Source organism: Homo sapiens, chromosome 8, assembly GCF_000001405.40.
Source record: "Homo sapiens chromosome 8, GRCh38.p14 Primary Assembly".
NCBI classification, from domain to species: domain Eukaryota; kingdom Metazoa; phylum Chordata; class Mammalia; order Primates; family Hominidae; genus Homo; species Homo sapiens.
The window spans coordinates 141,055,811-141,071,265 of NC_000008.11; the positions used below are offsets into that span (position 1 = coordinate 141,055,811).

Sequence of the window (15,455 nt, forward strand, 5' to 3'; positions counted from 1 at the left end):
GACTCAGCACTTTTGCATCCCCCCCACCCCGCCGTGCAGCAGGGCCAGGCATGACCCAGCACTTTTGCATTATCCCCCCGCAGCCCGTGCAGCAGGGCCAGGCACAGGAAGGTATGTGGAGTGGATGAGTAGGGGGCCTGGGGAGAATGAGCCCCCCACTGGCGCTCCAGAGAGCTGGCTGTGTGGTCTGAAGCAGAGGGTCTTGAAGTCCGATGACCTGGGTTTAACTCCCAGCTCTGTCCCTCATCCCTGCGGCCTCAGGCAGCTCACTTTTGTGAGCCTCGGTTTACCCTTCTGAAGATATAGCTGTTTACCACCTCATGGTAGGGCAGTTAGGGGGTGCTCCGAGGACCCCAACAGGGACTCCACCAGTGGCAATGTTCATTACTTGGTGAGCCAGGAAATACCAAGCCGAGCTTCTGTTTACCTTCCCACAGCTCACTGTGTGCATGTCATATGCGTTGGGGTAGGAAGGAGGTCTCCAACTGTGCCCCCCGACCGGGTCAGGGACTTCAGCTATGCTTTGTGGAAGCGGGAGAGGCCACAGGTCAGGACTCAAACCAAGAAGCAGACCCCATGGAATGGGTGTCTGTGAATAGGCACGTGCTCGGTGGTGGGGGCAGCCTGTGGTCCCTAGATAGCTGCCATCCTGAGTCTCGCTGAAGCTCTGGGTCCACAGGACAGGTAGGCAGGGAGGGACGAGGGAGGACACATGGGCGAGAGGGAGAACAAGCCGGAACCACAGGTATGAGCTGGAGCCAGCGGCGTAGGCTGAAACCCGTGTCTGCCAGTGACCTGGGTGGTGTGGGCGCCCTGCTTGAGCCTGGCCTCTGTCACACAGCTAAACACACCTGGCACAAGAATGGGACAAGGGAAAGGTGGGCCAGTTGTGGCCCGCCACTGCCTCACGCCAGGGAGGCGGCAGGCAGATCAGCAGCGACATGTATGAGCGACAAACTGCTGCTGCCACTTTCACCTCCTCCCTCCAAATCTACGGGAGCGGCTCCTGTGGCCCCTCCTAACCAGAAATGTGCAGGGACCGGGGAGCTCATGAGGCGAGCTGCTCCCCACAGGAGGAGACCTCCATCCTGCAGCCACCCAGCAAAAGGTGTTCTGAAGCAATACTTCTGGGGTCATTAGTGGCTCCTTTGAGCTGCCCCGTGGGAGGGCCAAGGGCTCAGTGCTGGGCACGAGGACCTTTGCCTCAGTCACCTGTCCCTGCCTTGTCCCCAACCAGACATTGGGGGTCCCCGCCATGTTCACTTCTACCATATTTCCAAGCCCACCCCCTTCTCTCTGCCCCACAGCCCTACCCCAGACCAGTCCCACCCTAGCTCAGCCCCACGGCGGCCCTCCAGGACTGGGGCACTGTGTCCTCACACCGAGGCTACAGCTGGACCCTGTCACTTCCCGCTTTTGCATTTATAACAGTCCCAACTGCAGCAGTGGACACCCTGCCATCAGAATCTGCTGGGGAGCTTTTCCAGAGTGTGGGTGTCAGTCCCACCCTGGCCTACTGGATCGGAACCCAAAACCAAAAGCCCTGCCTCAGCGAGCAAGTTCAAAGTCATTGGCCCAAAGGAAAAACTCCAAGTCCTTTGTTGGTCATTCAGGTACCTTGAGATTTTGGCTTGCATCTTCATCTCCAGCCTGATCCCTTGCCCCAATCCCAGACCCCACACCCCATGTTCCATTTGCCCTAAACTCCTGATGCCTGGGTCACACCCACATTTTTGCTCACACTCTCCTTGCTGTCCAGAACATCTTCTCCCCAGCAACTTTCCTTGTGGCAAACTCCTATTCACATTCCAAGGCACTACTCAAAGGTCACCTCCTCTGTGCAGCCCTCCCTGATTGCTCCCACAGCCACACTCCTACCTCACATTCATTTTCAGTGCTTTCCACTTTGTTTTGTGCCATGTGGTTCTCATGTCTGACTCCCTACTAGACTGGCAACTTTTCGAGGGCAGGGGCCTGACTCCCTGTATAGTACCCAGAGCAAGGTCTGGCACAGAGTAGTGACGGAGTGAATGAGCAAATGAATAAATAACCAAACTGCAACTTTGGGTGCGGGGCCTAGCTAGTAGGAAGTGCAGATTGGTTGAGGGCAGGTGGAAGACAGAATCACTGTGTCTTTGCCACACCTGCCCTCGAGGGCCAAAGGCTCCAGAGAAGGTGGAGAGCTCGGGTAGTCAGCTGTTAATTTTCTTTTTATTAAAAAAATATATATAATCTGTGCTCTTGGTAAAAATTCAAATCGTTATGGAATTGTGCAAAGTAAAAGCTGCCAGTTCTTCACTCCCCGCCCACAGTCCCCTTCTGTTTCAGAGGTAACCTCTGCCGGGGAGACTGGTTTTTAGTGGAAAGTTTTGGGAACCTGACAGGTCTGACCGGTTTCTCCCCCCACTTGAGCTGGGGCCACCACGGGCAGCTCTCAGTGACCTGTGGCTGAGATCTTATGTGTCCTTCAGCCCCAGGTCCCTCTCAGAGCTGTCTGTGCCCCTTCCTCTATGCCCGGGTGGCCAGCACCAGTCAGGTCGGCTCCACAGCAGCAGAGTCTGACTGTTGCCAGTGACTTCACCTCTCTGACCTGCAGTCTCTTCATCAGTCTCTTACTTGTTACTCTTCATCCTTGCTGCCAGGGTGGTCATGAGGGCTGACTGAGGAACAGGCTGTGCACACGCAGCTCAGGACCTTGGTAAATATTCCTGCTTCGTTCCCTCTTCCACCTCAAGCCCACCCTGTGATGCAGGCTTTGAGGTGGGCCTTCCCATGCGGAGTCCTGGAGAGGTCGGGGTGAATGCATGCCTCAGAAAAGCCCCTTAGCCTGGAGAGAGCCTGGTGTTCATTCATTCACTCCACGCATTCCCCAAGCACCCACTCTGGACCCTTGGAGAACAGAGCTGAGTGAGCTGGGACCCCTAGGGAGGAGCCCGTCATTGGTCAGGAACCTGCTAGGCTGCAAAGGGCTGAGATCTGTGCCGGGAGATGTGGGTGCAACGATGAGAAGGACCAGCATGCCTGGGATCTGTGTGAATGTGGAAGGATAACCGCAGGGACTTACATCTCATCAGCTCCCTCTTTCTCCCCCTTCCTTCCTCACATCCCAGTGAGAGCATCAGGCCTGCCAACAACCCCATGGTACAACAAGAAAATGGCTGTGCTGGAGGTAGGTGCAGAGCCTCCGGGAAGGTTTCCCAGTGGACTCGAAGCTGGAGCTGGGACCTGAAGGATGAGGAAGGGCATTCTGGTTGAAGGAACTGCATGTGGGAAGGCACAGAGGCAGGAAAAAACCTGCCTGCTCTGGGAACCACCAGTGGTTTCTCGTCGGTGGGTGGTGAGGGGCCCCTGCGGGGTCTGGAGCCATTAGCCCAGGAAGTCGGGGCTCCCCCAGCTGGTTGCTCCTTGGCTGTTTTGGGAGGAAGCGGCCCTGGACCTCAGACTGCACAAAAGGAGGCTTTGACATTGGTTGGGAGAAGGGAAGTCAGGAGGGAGGAAGGAGCTGGTGTGTATTTTTGGATGTAGCTCAGGAATCTGCTCCTCCCTCCAGCACCATGGCAACAGGCCTCTGAGAACTGCTGATCTGACGGTGGGGGCGGGCTGGGGGTGGAGGGCAGCTCTGTGGCCCTGGGCGAGTCGATTCCCCTCTCCGAGCCTCAGTTTGGGCATCTGTTTTGTGGGGATGGCCATACGGGTGGGGCGGTGGCTGGGAGGAGTCCCAAGGGGCCAGACCCATAGTGGTTAGCTCCTCGGAAACATTTTTAGGGGGAGGGAGGGGGCTGCAGGAGCATCCTGGGTGGTCCCGAGTCCAGAAGGTTTGGCAAGGCCATCAGGAGTCCTTGAGCCTAAGTGGCCCCTCAGAGTCGGCCTGCACCTCTCAGGACCGGGCCTGCCTCGGTGGCCCCACTGCACCCAGTTTCCAGCCAGGAGCCCCCGTGGGAGGCAGGATGGCAGCTGGGTCCCGCAGCCCCTGAAGCCGGAGGGCTGGGCGGCAGGTCCTCACAGCCGCCCCTGCACAAGCGCACCCCCAAAGCTCCAGGGCTTTTGCTGTTTCTAGAACTCCACCAGAGCAGGAAATGGGGGGATGAGCCCCATATTTGTTTCCCAGGGTTGTCATTAAGAAACTGCCACAAACCGGCTTAAAACAACAGAATTTATCTCTTGCAGCCCTGGACGCCGGAAATCTGAGATGAAGGTGCCGGCAGGGCCCTGCCCGCTCTGAAGTCTCTGGGGGAAGCTTCTTTGCCTCTTCCAGCTTCTGGTGGCTCCACGCACTGCTGGGCTCGTGGCTGCCTCCCTCTGGTCTCTGCCCCGGTCTGCACGTGGCCTTCCCTGCGTGTTTCTGTGTCCTTGCTGCTGCTTAGAAGCACAGCAGCCATTGGATTAGGACCCACTCTCATCCAGCATGGCCTCATCTTAACTCATTACGTCTACAAAATCTCCATTTCCAAATAAGGTCCCATTCTGGGGTCCTGAGTGGACACGGCGGGGACACCATCAACCCATCCTAAGGCCTTCTTGGGCAGCCTCAGGGGGAAGCCGGACCAGCCTTAAGTGAAAGTGGAGGGTTCCAAGGATCCTACAAAGGGGCCCTGACCCAGTCGGTGGGCAGCAGGGGACAGAGTGGACGTGGAACTTGTAGACAGACAGAACGATGCACAGGACTCACCCCCACCACCAGAGGTCTGTGTGCAGAGACGACAGAGGGCAGCGTCCCTCCCACTGCCCATCACCCATGGAGTGTGGAAAATCCCGGTCAAGACAGCAGCCCGGGCCGTGAAATCGAATCTGGGGGTCCCAAGCATCGGCGTTTGTGCAGCTCTCGGTGGTTCCAAAGTCAGCCAAGATCTCGGTTCTGGGCCGCCAGGGGCTCTGGAGTCAGACACCTCGTGTCTAAGTCTCCACCAGTTACTGACCGAGCGACCTCAGCAGTACGTTCACCGCTCCGGGTGTCCCTGTCCCCTGTGGATGGCATCATTGCCTCCCTTATGGAGATGAGAAGAATCAAACGGGAACGTTGGCTCCGTGCCTGTCACGAGGGAAGTGCTTGATAGACGGTGCCCTTCTGCGCCACGTAGAGAGAAAACCGAGGGAGCCTCATTTAAACTGCAGGCCTGGGAAGGCCTGTGGACTTTCAGGGAAGCTGAGAAGGGGCCCTGGCACCGGTCTGCATGCCAGCTGGGCAGGGCAGGGTGAGCCTGGTGCATATACCTGGGGCCACACAGCAGGGCCTCATGCTTCTTTTTTGGACCCACTTGACGGATGGGGAGACTGAGTTCAGAGAGGCCAAGTGGCTTGCCAGGGTCACGCAGCTGATACACAGCAAATGGATTTTAAACCCACCTGACCGCAATTCCAAGCATTGTTTTCTTGGGTCAAACCTTGGGAGCTCAAAGGGTGATCCTGACCTGTGATGGCTCCATTTTATGCAGAATATTTTGTTTTGTTTTTTAATTTGCCTGTTTACTCTAATGTTCCCAGTCGTTTTCCTCCCAGGGATCCTCACTCACAAGTGGACTCTGACGGCCTCGGGGGCTCAGATTTCACAATCGGCTAAGGCTAACATAAGGCCTTCCAGGTTACAAGGCTGAAAGTTATTTTCCATCATTCATTTGTTCACTTTACATAACATGCACCTATTGAGCACCTGCTGTATACTGGGAACCAAGTTAAACACCAGGTTTGCAGAGGTGGACAAGGCCCTGTTCCTGCCTCCAGGGTCTCCAACCCATCAGGAGACGCAGGCCCTTTGACAGACACTGGTGATAAAATGACAGTGGAGGTCTGTTCAAGATACAGGCAAGTTGGATGGGTGGGGTGGGAATGCCCACTGCCCTTGAGGGTGGGCAGGGGACAGAGGTGTCATTTACGGTGGGTGTCAAGGAGTTTGGTTCAGAACAAGAGCAAAGGCGTGTGCCCCAGGATGTGGGACAGCACGTGGGAAGACAAGGTGAGGCAGACTTTGGGGACTATCAGGGGCTCCAAGTGGTTGGTGTTGGGGGTGTCGAGAAGTGGAGGTGGAGGCCAGGACAGGACAGGGGCTGGGTGAGAGGCTAGTGCAGACAGGCAGAGGGAGGCATGGCAGGGCAGTGATGGGAGGAGGAGGGCCGCTGGGGTAAGGTGTAGTCTCAGTAGTTCCGTGGGTCTGGCTGCTTCCCAGGAGCTGACTAGACCCTCATGGCCAAGTTCATAGTCCTATGCAGTCTGACCTTAGCCTACCTGCCCAGCCCAATCCCTCTGCAGCTGCCACTCACACCTTCCAGCCGAGAACATCTTCCCAGCTAGGAAACCGTCACACCTGTACACCTTTGCACCTGCTTGTCCCCTCACTCCCTGGGGCATGCCCACCCGTGCATCAGTTGAAGCCCAAATGTGCCATCATCTGAGAAACATTCCCAGTGTCCCCACAAAAAGAGGCTGGTGCCTCCTCTCGGCCACTGCAGCCTGGACATCTGCCTATTCATTCATGCTGTCGCCACACTGCACTGCCATGGCTCATGTATGTGAGTTTCCTCTTCCCTGCTGTTGAGTGTAGGCTTCTTAATTATCTCTATATATCACTAGCCCCTAGGAACAAGGTTCGCCACACAGTAGCTGCTCAGGGCTTTTGATGAAAGAAGGAATGAGATTGCTGGCAAGGTAGGTGGGGGGATGGTGGGATGGATGGATGGATGACTGGATGGAGAGAGGATGGAAGGATGGGTGGTGATAATGGATAGTTGGATGGGGAAGTGGAGGGATCATGGATCTCTGGCTGGGTGGATAAGTGAATAGGTGGGTGGATAGGCAGGTAGGGAGGTGATGGATAGGCGAATAGGTAGATAGACAGATGGGGGAGGGGATCATTGTGGATAGATAGGTAGAGGAGGAATGGTGAATACATAGATAGGCAGACAAGTGGGTGGGTGGCTGGATAGGTGGGCAGGTGGGTGGTAGATGGATAAAGGAGTGAGTGGGCAAGTTGTACTTTTTGAACCAATTTACATCTGGGCAACACAGTAAGAATAAAGGATTATGACCAAGGACAAAAGTTGCTGGGTTAGATTTCATGGAGGAGTAGGTGGATGGATGATGGGTGGGAGAGGACAAACGATAGGCTGGTGGGCTCTGTCATGATTCCCCCAAATGGGGATGCAGCAAGTCCAGTTCCAGCTGGTTCCAAGGGACGGACTCAGGTAGATGGGACGGGTGCTGATCATAATCCCAAAGACACAATCCCGATGCCGTGATCCCAAACACTGAAACCCCAAAAGGTCAAAATCTCCAAAGTCTAAATCCCCCAAATCACAATTCCAAGAGGTTAAAATCTTGAATGTTGAAATCTTGAAAGCCAAATTCTGAGGAAAGGATCAGTGCGTTTTCGGTTGTACACGAGATAGTTGCACCATGTTCACTGCATCAAGTTAGGCGAGCTAGTGCCTTGTTATTGTCTTTATTTGGAAATAGCATGGTTTAAGGAGACGTGTATGGGTGCCGAGTTGACAATGGGTGGATTTGCGGACTTTATTTCAGGTGTTGACTTGGCTGGATTAAGGAATCTGGGCGTGGGCCAGGTACGGTGGCACATGCCTGTGATCCCAGCACTTTGAGAGGCTGAAGTGGGCAAATCACTGGAGTTTAGGAGTTTGAGACCAGCCTAGACAACATGGTGAAACCCCATCTCTAAAAAAAAAAAATTAAAAAAATTAAAAAATACAAAAATTAGCCTGGCATAATGGTGCACACCTGTGGTCCCAGCTACTTGGGAGGCTGAGAAGGAAGGATCATTTCAGCCCAGGAGGTCAAGGCTGAGGAGGAAGGATCATTTGAGCTCAGGAAGTCAAACGCTGCAGTGAGCTGGGATCGTGCTACTGTCTGGGCAACAGAGTGAGACCCTGTCTCAAAAGAAAAAAAAAAAAAGAAATTTGGGTGTTTCTGTGAAGGTGCTTCCAGAAGCGGTTGGTGAGTGAGTCTAGATGGATTAGGTGGGGAAGCTCTCCCCTCACTGTTGGTGGGCACCATGTAATTGGCCAGGGGCCTGAGAGAACAAAGTAAGAAGGCAAATTGTCTCTTTTTTTGTTTGTTTGTTTGAGACGGAGTCTCGCTCTTTTGCCCAGGCTGGAGTGCAGTGGCATGATCTTGGCTGTCTGTGACCTCCGCCTCCCAGGTTCAAGCGATTCTCCTGCCTCAGCCTCCTGAGTAGCTGGGATTACAGGTGCCCGCCACCATGCCCAGCTAATTTTTGCATTTTTTTTTTCAGTAGAAATGGGATTTTGCCCTGTTAACCAGACTGGTCTTGAACTCCTGACCTCAAGTGATCCTCCCGCCTCAACCTCCCAAAGTGCTGGGATTACAGGCCTGAACCACTGTGCCTGGCCCGAATTGGTCTCTTTCTGAGAGCTGGGACTTCTCCTCTGCTGCCTTGGACATTAGAAATTTGACTCCATGGAGCTGCATTACCATATGCTGACTGTGTGTGTAAGCATTGGACATGTATGGAAAAACATCGAAACTTCCTCAGTAAACGAACAGGTGCACTTTATGTATGACTGTACGTGTGAAAGGTAAAATTTCTTCAGAGCTCGGCTTTTTGGGTGACTGCCTAGGCTGTCATGACCCATCATGGTTTTTAAAATTTTTCTTTTTATTTTTTTGAGACAGAGTCTTACTCTGTCATCCAGGCTGGAGTGCGATGGCGTGATCTCGCTCACTGCAACCTCTGCCTCCTGGGTTCAAGCGAATCTCCTGCCTCAGCCTCACGAGAAGCTGAGATTACAGGTGCCCGCCACCACGCCCAGCTAATTTTTGTATTTTAATAGAGATGGGGTTTCACCATGTTGGTCAGGCTGGTCTCGAACTCCTGACCTCAAATGGTCTGCTTGCCTCGGCCTCCCAACGTGCTGGGATTACAGGTGTGTGTGTGAGCCACTGCGCCCAGCCCCATCATGGTTTTTGATAGATCTTGTGAAAGACTTAGGTTGTCCGTCAGGGTATTTCAGATGACCGCAGTTATAAAGCTGAGTGCATACAATTACCAGCCATGCTTAATTACCAGCCACAGTGATGTGTGCTTATACCTTTCACTTTTTTGTCTGCTCATAACTGTCATACCCTCATGATTGCTGCTAGCATACCTGTTTATGCTTGCAAATATATGTATGTCATTTTTGCCTATTTCATTGTATAAAATGGCCTATGAAGTGTTCTGTCATGTTTTTATGTTTCTCATGTAAATCTCCTGTTAAAAATGTAAATACATTTTTTAAATAACTTTGAAAAATTATTTTTTTCCAGAATTATATTTTCAGGATTTTTGATCTTTCGGGATTTGTGACTTTGTGGATTTTAGATTTTAGAGATTTTACTCTGTTAGGATTTAACATTTGGAATTATAGTGTTTGGGATTGTGTCTTTTGGGATTATGGCCAGAACCCAGATGGGACTTGAGTGGGGACCATATGACAAGGCAGGGAAGGGTGGTACCAGAATCCAGCCCTGGGAAATGTGTGGCAAACAGGGCCTGGCTGGCCAATTGGGGCACAGGGCGGAAGGGAGGTCCCACCAGACCCCTGCCAACCTGCAGTGGCATCCATCTCTGTGTGGGCAGGGTCTCCAAGCCACTCTCCTCAGCTTGCTGGCATCCTAGCCCCAGCCTGTCGGGGTTCCCTGCTCCCTGCCTGGCATCTATCTTCCATATTCCATCAACCTGGGTTTTTTGTTTGTTGGTTGGTTTTTTTTTTGTTTTGTTTTTTATTTTGAGACGGAATCTCATTCTGTTACCCAAGCTGGAGTGCAGTGGAGTGATCTCGGCTCACTGCAACCTTCACCTCTTGGGTTCAAGGGATTCTTCTGCCTTAGCCTCCTGAGTAGCTGGGATTACAGGCATGTGCCATCGCACCCAGCTAACTTTTGTATTTTTAGTAGAGACGGTGTTTCACTATGTTGGCCAGGCTGGACTCAAACTCCTAACCTCAAGTGATCCTCCTGCCTCGGCCTCCCAAAGTGCTAGGATTACAGGCGTGAGCCACCGCACCTGGCCCATCAACCTGGTTTTGAACTTTCTGCCTGAGCCTTGAACTTGACCCCTCTGGGTTGCTAACCTGGGGCATGTGTCCCCAGACTTCATGCCAGTCCCTTCCCCAGACTTCCCCCAGGCTACTTAGCTGGACCCAACCCTGGCCTAGTCAGGCCCCCACTGGCTGGGGAGAGATAGCAGGCCCAGCACATGTGGACTATGAGGGTTAATCGTAGGCATCAACAGGACTGGATTGAGGAGCATCTAGAGAATTGGTGAAGAGTGGCTCCTGGGTGTGTCTGTGCAGCTGCTTCCAGAGGAGACCGAGTAGGGAAGATCCGTCCCCAGTGAGTGTAGGCACCATCCAGTTGACTGGGGGCCCAGACAGCACAAAAAAGGAGACAAAGAGTGAATGCCTCTCTCCCTCCTGGGGCTGGGACTCTCTCCTTCTGCCCTTGGATATCAGAATTCCAGGCTCTAAGACTTGTACCAGTGGTTCCATGGCTTCTCAGGCCTTTGGTCTTGGACTGAGAGTTACAGCATTGGCTTCCTGTGTTCTGAGCCTTTCAGACTTGGACTGAACTCTGCTGCCGGCAGAGTTCTCCCGCTTGTGGAGGCAATTGTGGTGGGACTTCTCAGCCTCCATGATGGAGTGCGCCAGCTCCCCTCAAAAATCCCCTCTCTTACCTCTCTATATCTCCATCCATCCATCCATCCGTCTATCCATTAATCAATGAATCAATCAATCATCTATCAATCCATCCATCCATCTACCCATCTATCCATCTATCCATCTGTCCGTCTGTCTGTCCATCCATCTATCCATCAATCTGTCCATCCACCCATCCATCCATCTGCCCATCCATCAATCAATGAATCAATCAATCATCTATCAATCCATCCATCTACCCATCTACCCATTCATGTATCCATCTGTCCATCTGTCTGTCTATCCATCCATCCATCCCTCTGTCCATCCATCCATCCGTCCATCCACCCACCCATCCAACCATCTATACATGCATCAATCTACCCATCCATTCATCTCTCCGTCTGTCTGTCTGTCTTTCCATCCGTCTGTCCATCCATTCACCCATCCATCTCCTATTGGTCAGTCTCTGTAGGCCCCTGACTAATACTAGGATAACTACTATCTCCCAGCCACTCCTACTTCTAGACTTCAAACATCCAAAGAGCTCAATGCCTGATCTTTACTTTTGCTCTCTTTTCTTCTTTTGTATTTTAAACACAAAAGGGACTTGTACCTGTGGATTTGTATCTTAGGAAGACAAAAACCAGCTGGTATTAGCCCCTTGTCTCCCCATCCACAGGAAGGAGGGGGAAGTACTCGGACCTTAAAGGGGTTCACTCTGGAGTGGGGCAGGTGGGACAGAGGGAAGTTCTGAGAGCTCCTCACTGGCTCGGGAGGGAGGCAGAGCTGTGGGCCCAGTGCCTGCCTCAGGTGCCTGGCAGGTGGCAGATGACCCTCAGGATGTGGCCCCTGGCACCTGGTTCCTCACTGTGGCCAGGATCCTGCAAGGGTGCCTGGGCCCAGCCCAGGAGCTGAGGAACTGCAGGTGCCCATGTGGGCACAACTGGGCCCTGAGGGGTCACTGGGGGAAGCAGCGGTCCTGGAATGACTGCACTGAATTTCCCATCAGCCTTGTAAAGGAGGCTTTCAGAAATCGGACATTTCCTTCACCCCATATTGTTGAGAACAATTCATTCTCAGCACATGTTGAATATAAATAAAATCAGAACAATGGATGTGCTTTGTCAGCCCCTAGATCCAGAAGTGGATTTGGAAAAACCTTGTCCCCAGCAGCCTGGGCTGCAGCCTCTCGGGTCTCTTGGCGATATCCTGCAGGAAAGGGCCAGGTCAGGGTTGGGGGGTCCTTTCTCTCAGGGAATTAGGGGTTCCAGGGCTCCTGGCTATGCCGACAGCTACTGAGGGTTTGGCCTGTTGGGCCTGGAGATGGGAGGCCTCTGACTGACCTCTCTGTCCCTAGGGGAGGAGGGGCAGGGCATCCCCCACCACTTCACTGGGCAAGAGGCCACTGTGGCCTGGATTAAGGGGGGTGTTGAGAGAGAGGGGCCCAGGCGTGCCCAGAACTCTGTGTGCCCTAGGCTGGGCTCTGGGCCGCTGTGTGCTCCTTCCTGGGGAACGGGATGGGGGGGACATAAACCTGTGGAGGTAACTGTGGATGCTGTTGTCCTAAGTGCTTCACAGGAATTATCTCGCATTTAACACTTGCAGCCACCCTCTGAGGAGGCCGCTGTCTTGATCTGTGCTGCTATAACAAAATGCCACAGCCTGGGTGATTTATAAACCGTAGAAACTTATTTCTTACAGTTCTGGAGGCTGGGATATCCAAACTCATGGTGCCGGCAGATTCGTGTCTGGTGAGGACTGTTTTCTCTGCTTCAAGATGGAGCCCTGTTGCTGCATCTTTTCTAGGAAGATGAACACTGTCCTCCTATGGTGGAACAGAAGGGAAAAAGGCATGAACGGCTCCCTTGTGCCTCTCATATAAGGTCACTAATCCCATTCTCAAGGGCTCCACCCTCATGACCTAATCACCTCCCAAAGGCCCCACCTGTTAATGCTATGGCATTGCTGGTTATGTTGCAACATAAGAATTTGGGCGGACACATTCAGACCATAGCAGGCACCATTAGTAAGCCCATCTTATGGATCAGGAAACCAGAACACAGGGAGGTTCGGCAATTTGTCCGAGGTCACACAGCCAGGATTGGGTGTGGGTCCCAGCTCTTCTGGCAGTGCTGGTTTTGGGCACTTTATTTCATCTCTTTCTGCTTGTCTTCTCAACTCTTACATGCGAAGACCACGGTACAGCTCTTATTACTGTAGTTGTCCCGGGGAGACCCGTGTGTCCGTGGCATCCACGTGGCAGATGCTGTGCCCAGGCCGTGGACTCTGGATAGGCTCAGGCCTATGACTTTACCTGCCACTCTCTCTTCCAGCGGTCCCAGTGCCCCTAGTCCCCAAGGGCAGTCAGCTCCTTTTTTTTTTTTTGAGACAGGGTCTTACTCTGTCACCCACGCTGAAGTGCAGTGATGTGATCAAGGTTCACCGCAGCCTTGACCTCCCCAAGCTCAGGTGATCCTCCCACCTTAGCCTCCCAAGTAGCTAGGACTACAGGTGCATGCTACCATGCCCAGCAAAGTTTTATACATGTATATATTTTTCCAGAGACAGGGTCTCGCTATGCTGGTCTTGAACTCTGGGACTCAAGTGATCTGCACACCTCAGCCTCCCAAAGTGCTGAGATTACAGACATGAAACACTGCGACCGGGCGACTTCCCTTATAATCACATTCCTGATTACACTTAGGGCCCATCCAGATACTCCAGGGTAATCTCTCCATCTCAGGGTCCCTAACTTAATCCCATCTGCAAAGACTTTTGCCTTCTAAGGTAACCTCCACAGGTTTCAGGGATGCGGACCTGGGTATCTCTGGGGGCCATGATATCTAGTATGATTATTTATTGTTATTGATTATTCAGCTTACTGCAGTGTACACATGGCCACGGGACCACCACTCTTTGGTCTATGGCTGTCATCTGTGAAGAGCTACAGCACTTTTTCCACTGAGCCTGAATATGCAGCCTCAGAAGCCTTGTTGTCATTGTTGCTGTTTGAGACGGGGTCTCACTATGTTGCCCAGGCTACTCGCCAACTCCTGGGCTCAAGTAATCCTCCCGCCTCAACCACCCACCCCCGCCTGAGTAGCTGGGACTACAGGTATGCACCACCATACCTGGCTAAATTTTTAAAATTATTTTGCAGAGACAGTCCCACTATGCTGCCTGGGCTGGTCTCAAACACCTGGCCTCAAGCAATCCTCCTGCCTCAGCCCCACAAAGTACTGGAATTACAAGCATGAGCCACCTTGCCTGGCCAGAATGTTTCTTAATTTCCAAGTTGTTAGGCTGTTGGTCATCTTTTTTTTTTTTTAATTCCTCATGTTATTAGACTATGATCAGAGAAGTGTTCTATAAAATCTCTGCTTTTTAAAATCTGGCCAAGTTTTTGTTTTGGTCGAGTATATAAGACATGTTTGCAGCTAATCGATGGATGTAAGAACAATTCCCCACTAAACAGCGACATGATTCTATCAGTCAATTCCTTCATTTCCTTCTTGTCTTTTTTGTCTGTTTAATTCTGCAGATGTATTAAAATGCCTTCTGTAATCTCTCCGGTTTTCTTGCCTTGATGATGGGAATCAGTTTCCACCCCTAGGGTCTGGCAAGGAGGCCAACCCGACCCAGTGCCTTCTCCGCTACTGAAACCTGTGACACAAAGGAACCTAGGACTTCCACACGCTGGACCCCCAGCCTATGTGCCAGAGCAGGAAGTCAGGAGCTGGATGGAGGTCTCCTCAGAAGGGAGTCAGGCCACATTGTTCCATAATGCTCTGCTGTAATCAGCCCTTCTGTGTTTGAGAGCTTTCAAAAAGAGCTGACTGGCCAGGTGCAGTGGTCAGGAGTTCCAGACCAGCCTGGCCAACATGGCAAAAACCCATCTCTACTAAAAATACAAAAATTAGCTGGGCGTGGTGGCACACACCTGTAATTCCAGCTACTCCAGAGGCTGAGGCAGGGGAATCACTTGAACCCAGGAGGTGGAGGTGGCAGCGAGCTGAGAACGCACCACTGCACTCCAGCCAGGGTGACAGAGCAAGACTCTGTCTCAAAAAAAAAAAAAAAAAAAAAAAAAAAAGAGGGAAGTAAAGGGAGACTTGAAACAGAAGAGGGCATTGAGGCCACTGAGGCAAGAGGCCACCCTGCTGACTTTAGGATGGAAGAAGGGGCCGGGAGCCGAGAAATGAAAGGGATGCAACTCTAGAAGCTGGAAGAGCTGAAGAAACAGATGTTCCCCTGGAGCTTCTGGAGGAGGCCTTGCCGACACATTGATTTTGGCCAGTGGAGCTGATTTCAGACCCCTGACCTCCAGAACTGTAAGACAGTAGATGTGAGGCACTTCTGCCACCAGCTCTGTGGTCATTTGTACAAACAACATAAGGAAAAGAATATGCACCTGTCCTTGGCTCTTCCGCCATGGCCTTCTCACCTATGTCAGATCAGGCTGCCACGGCAAAATCCCACAGACTGGACAGCTGAAACAACTGAAATTTATTCCTCCCTGACGCGGAGGCCAGGAGTCCAAAATCAAGGTGCCGCTGATTCTGTGAGGACCCGCTTCTTGGCTTGCAGTTGGCCACCTTCTCACTGTGTCCTCACTTGGCAGAGGGCGAGGGGCTCTCTCTCTTTTTTTTTTTTTTTTTTTTTTGAGACACAGTCTTACTCTGTTGCCTAGGCTGGAGTGCAGTAGCAAAATCTCGGCTCACTGCAACCTCTACCTCCTTGGTTCAAGTGATCCTCCCTCCTCAGCCTCCCACGTATCTGGGAGTACAGGCGTGGGCCACCACGCCCGGC

The 15,455-nt window shown here is 52.5% G+C and overlaps 1 long non-coding RNA gene across 1 annotated transcript, besides 2 other annotated features; it reads left to right on the forward strand.

The window, feature by feature from the left end:
* The first annotated feature begins 2,446 nt into the window (after nt 1–2,446).
* Nucleotides 2,447–6,683, forward strand: LOC105375784 (uncharacterized). Its single transcript, XR_002956733.2, has 3 exons — nt 2,447–2,698; nt 3,111–3,169; nt 4,168–6,683. It is a non-coding gene; the product is annotated as an uncharacterized LOC105375784 (long non-coding RNA).
* Nucleotides 3,890–4,587: an enhancer, noted in NCBI's record as "H3K27ac-H3K4me1 hESC enhancer chr8:142069799-142070496 (GRCh37/hg19 assembly coordinates)". NCBI's record gives its function as "activates a minimal SCP1, AML or CMV promoter by ChIP-STARR-seq in primed H9 embryonic stem cells {active_cell/tissue: H9 hESC(primed)}" and the evidence as "EXISTENCE:reporter gene assay evidence [ECO:0000049][PMID:30033119]".
* Nucleotides 11,296–11,797: an enhancer, noted in NCBI's record as "H3K27ac hESC enhancer chr8:142077205-142077706 (GRCh37/hg19 assembly coordinates)". NCBI's record gives its function as "activates a minimal SCP1, AML or CMV promoter by ChIP-STARR-seq in primed H9 embryonic stem cells {active_cell/tissue: H9 hESC(primed)}" and the evidence as "EXISTENCE:reporter gene assay evidence [ECO:0000049][PMID:30033119]".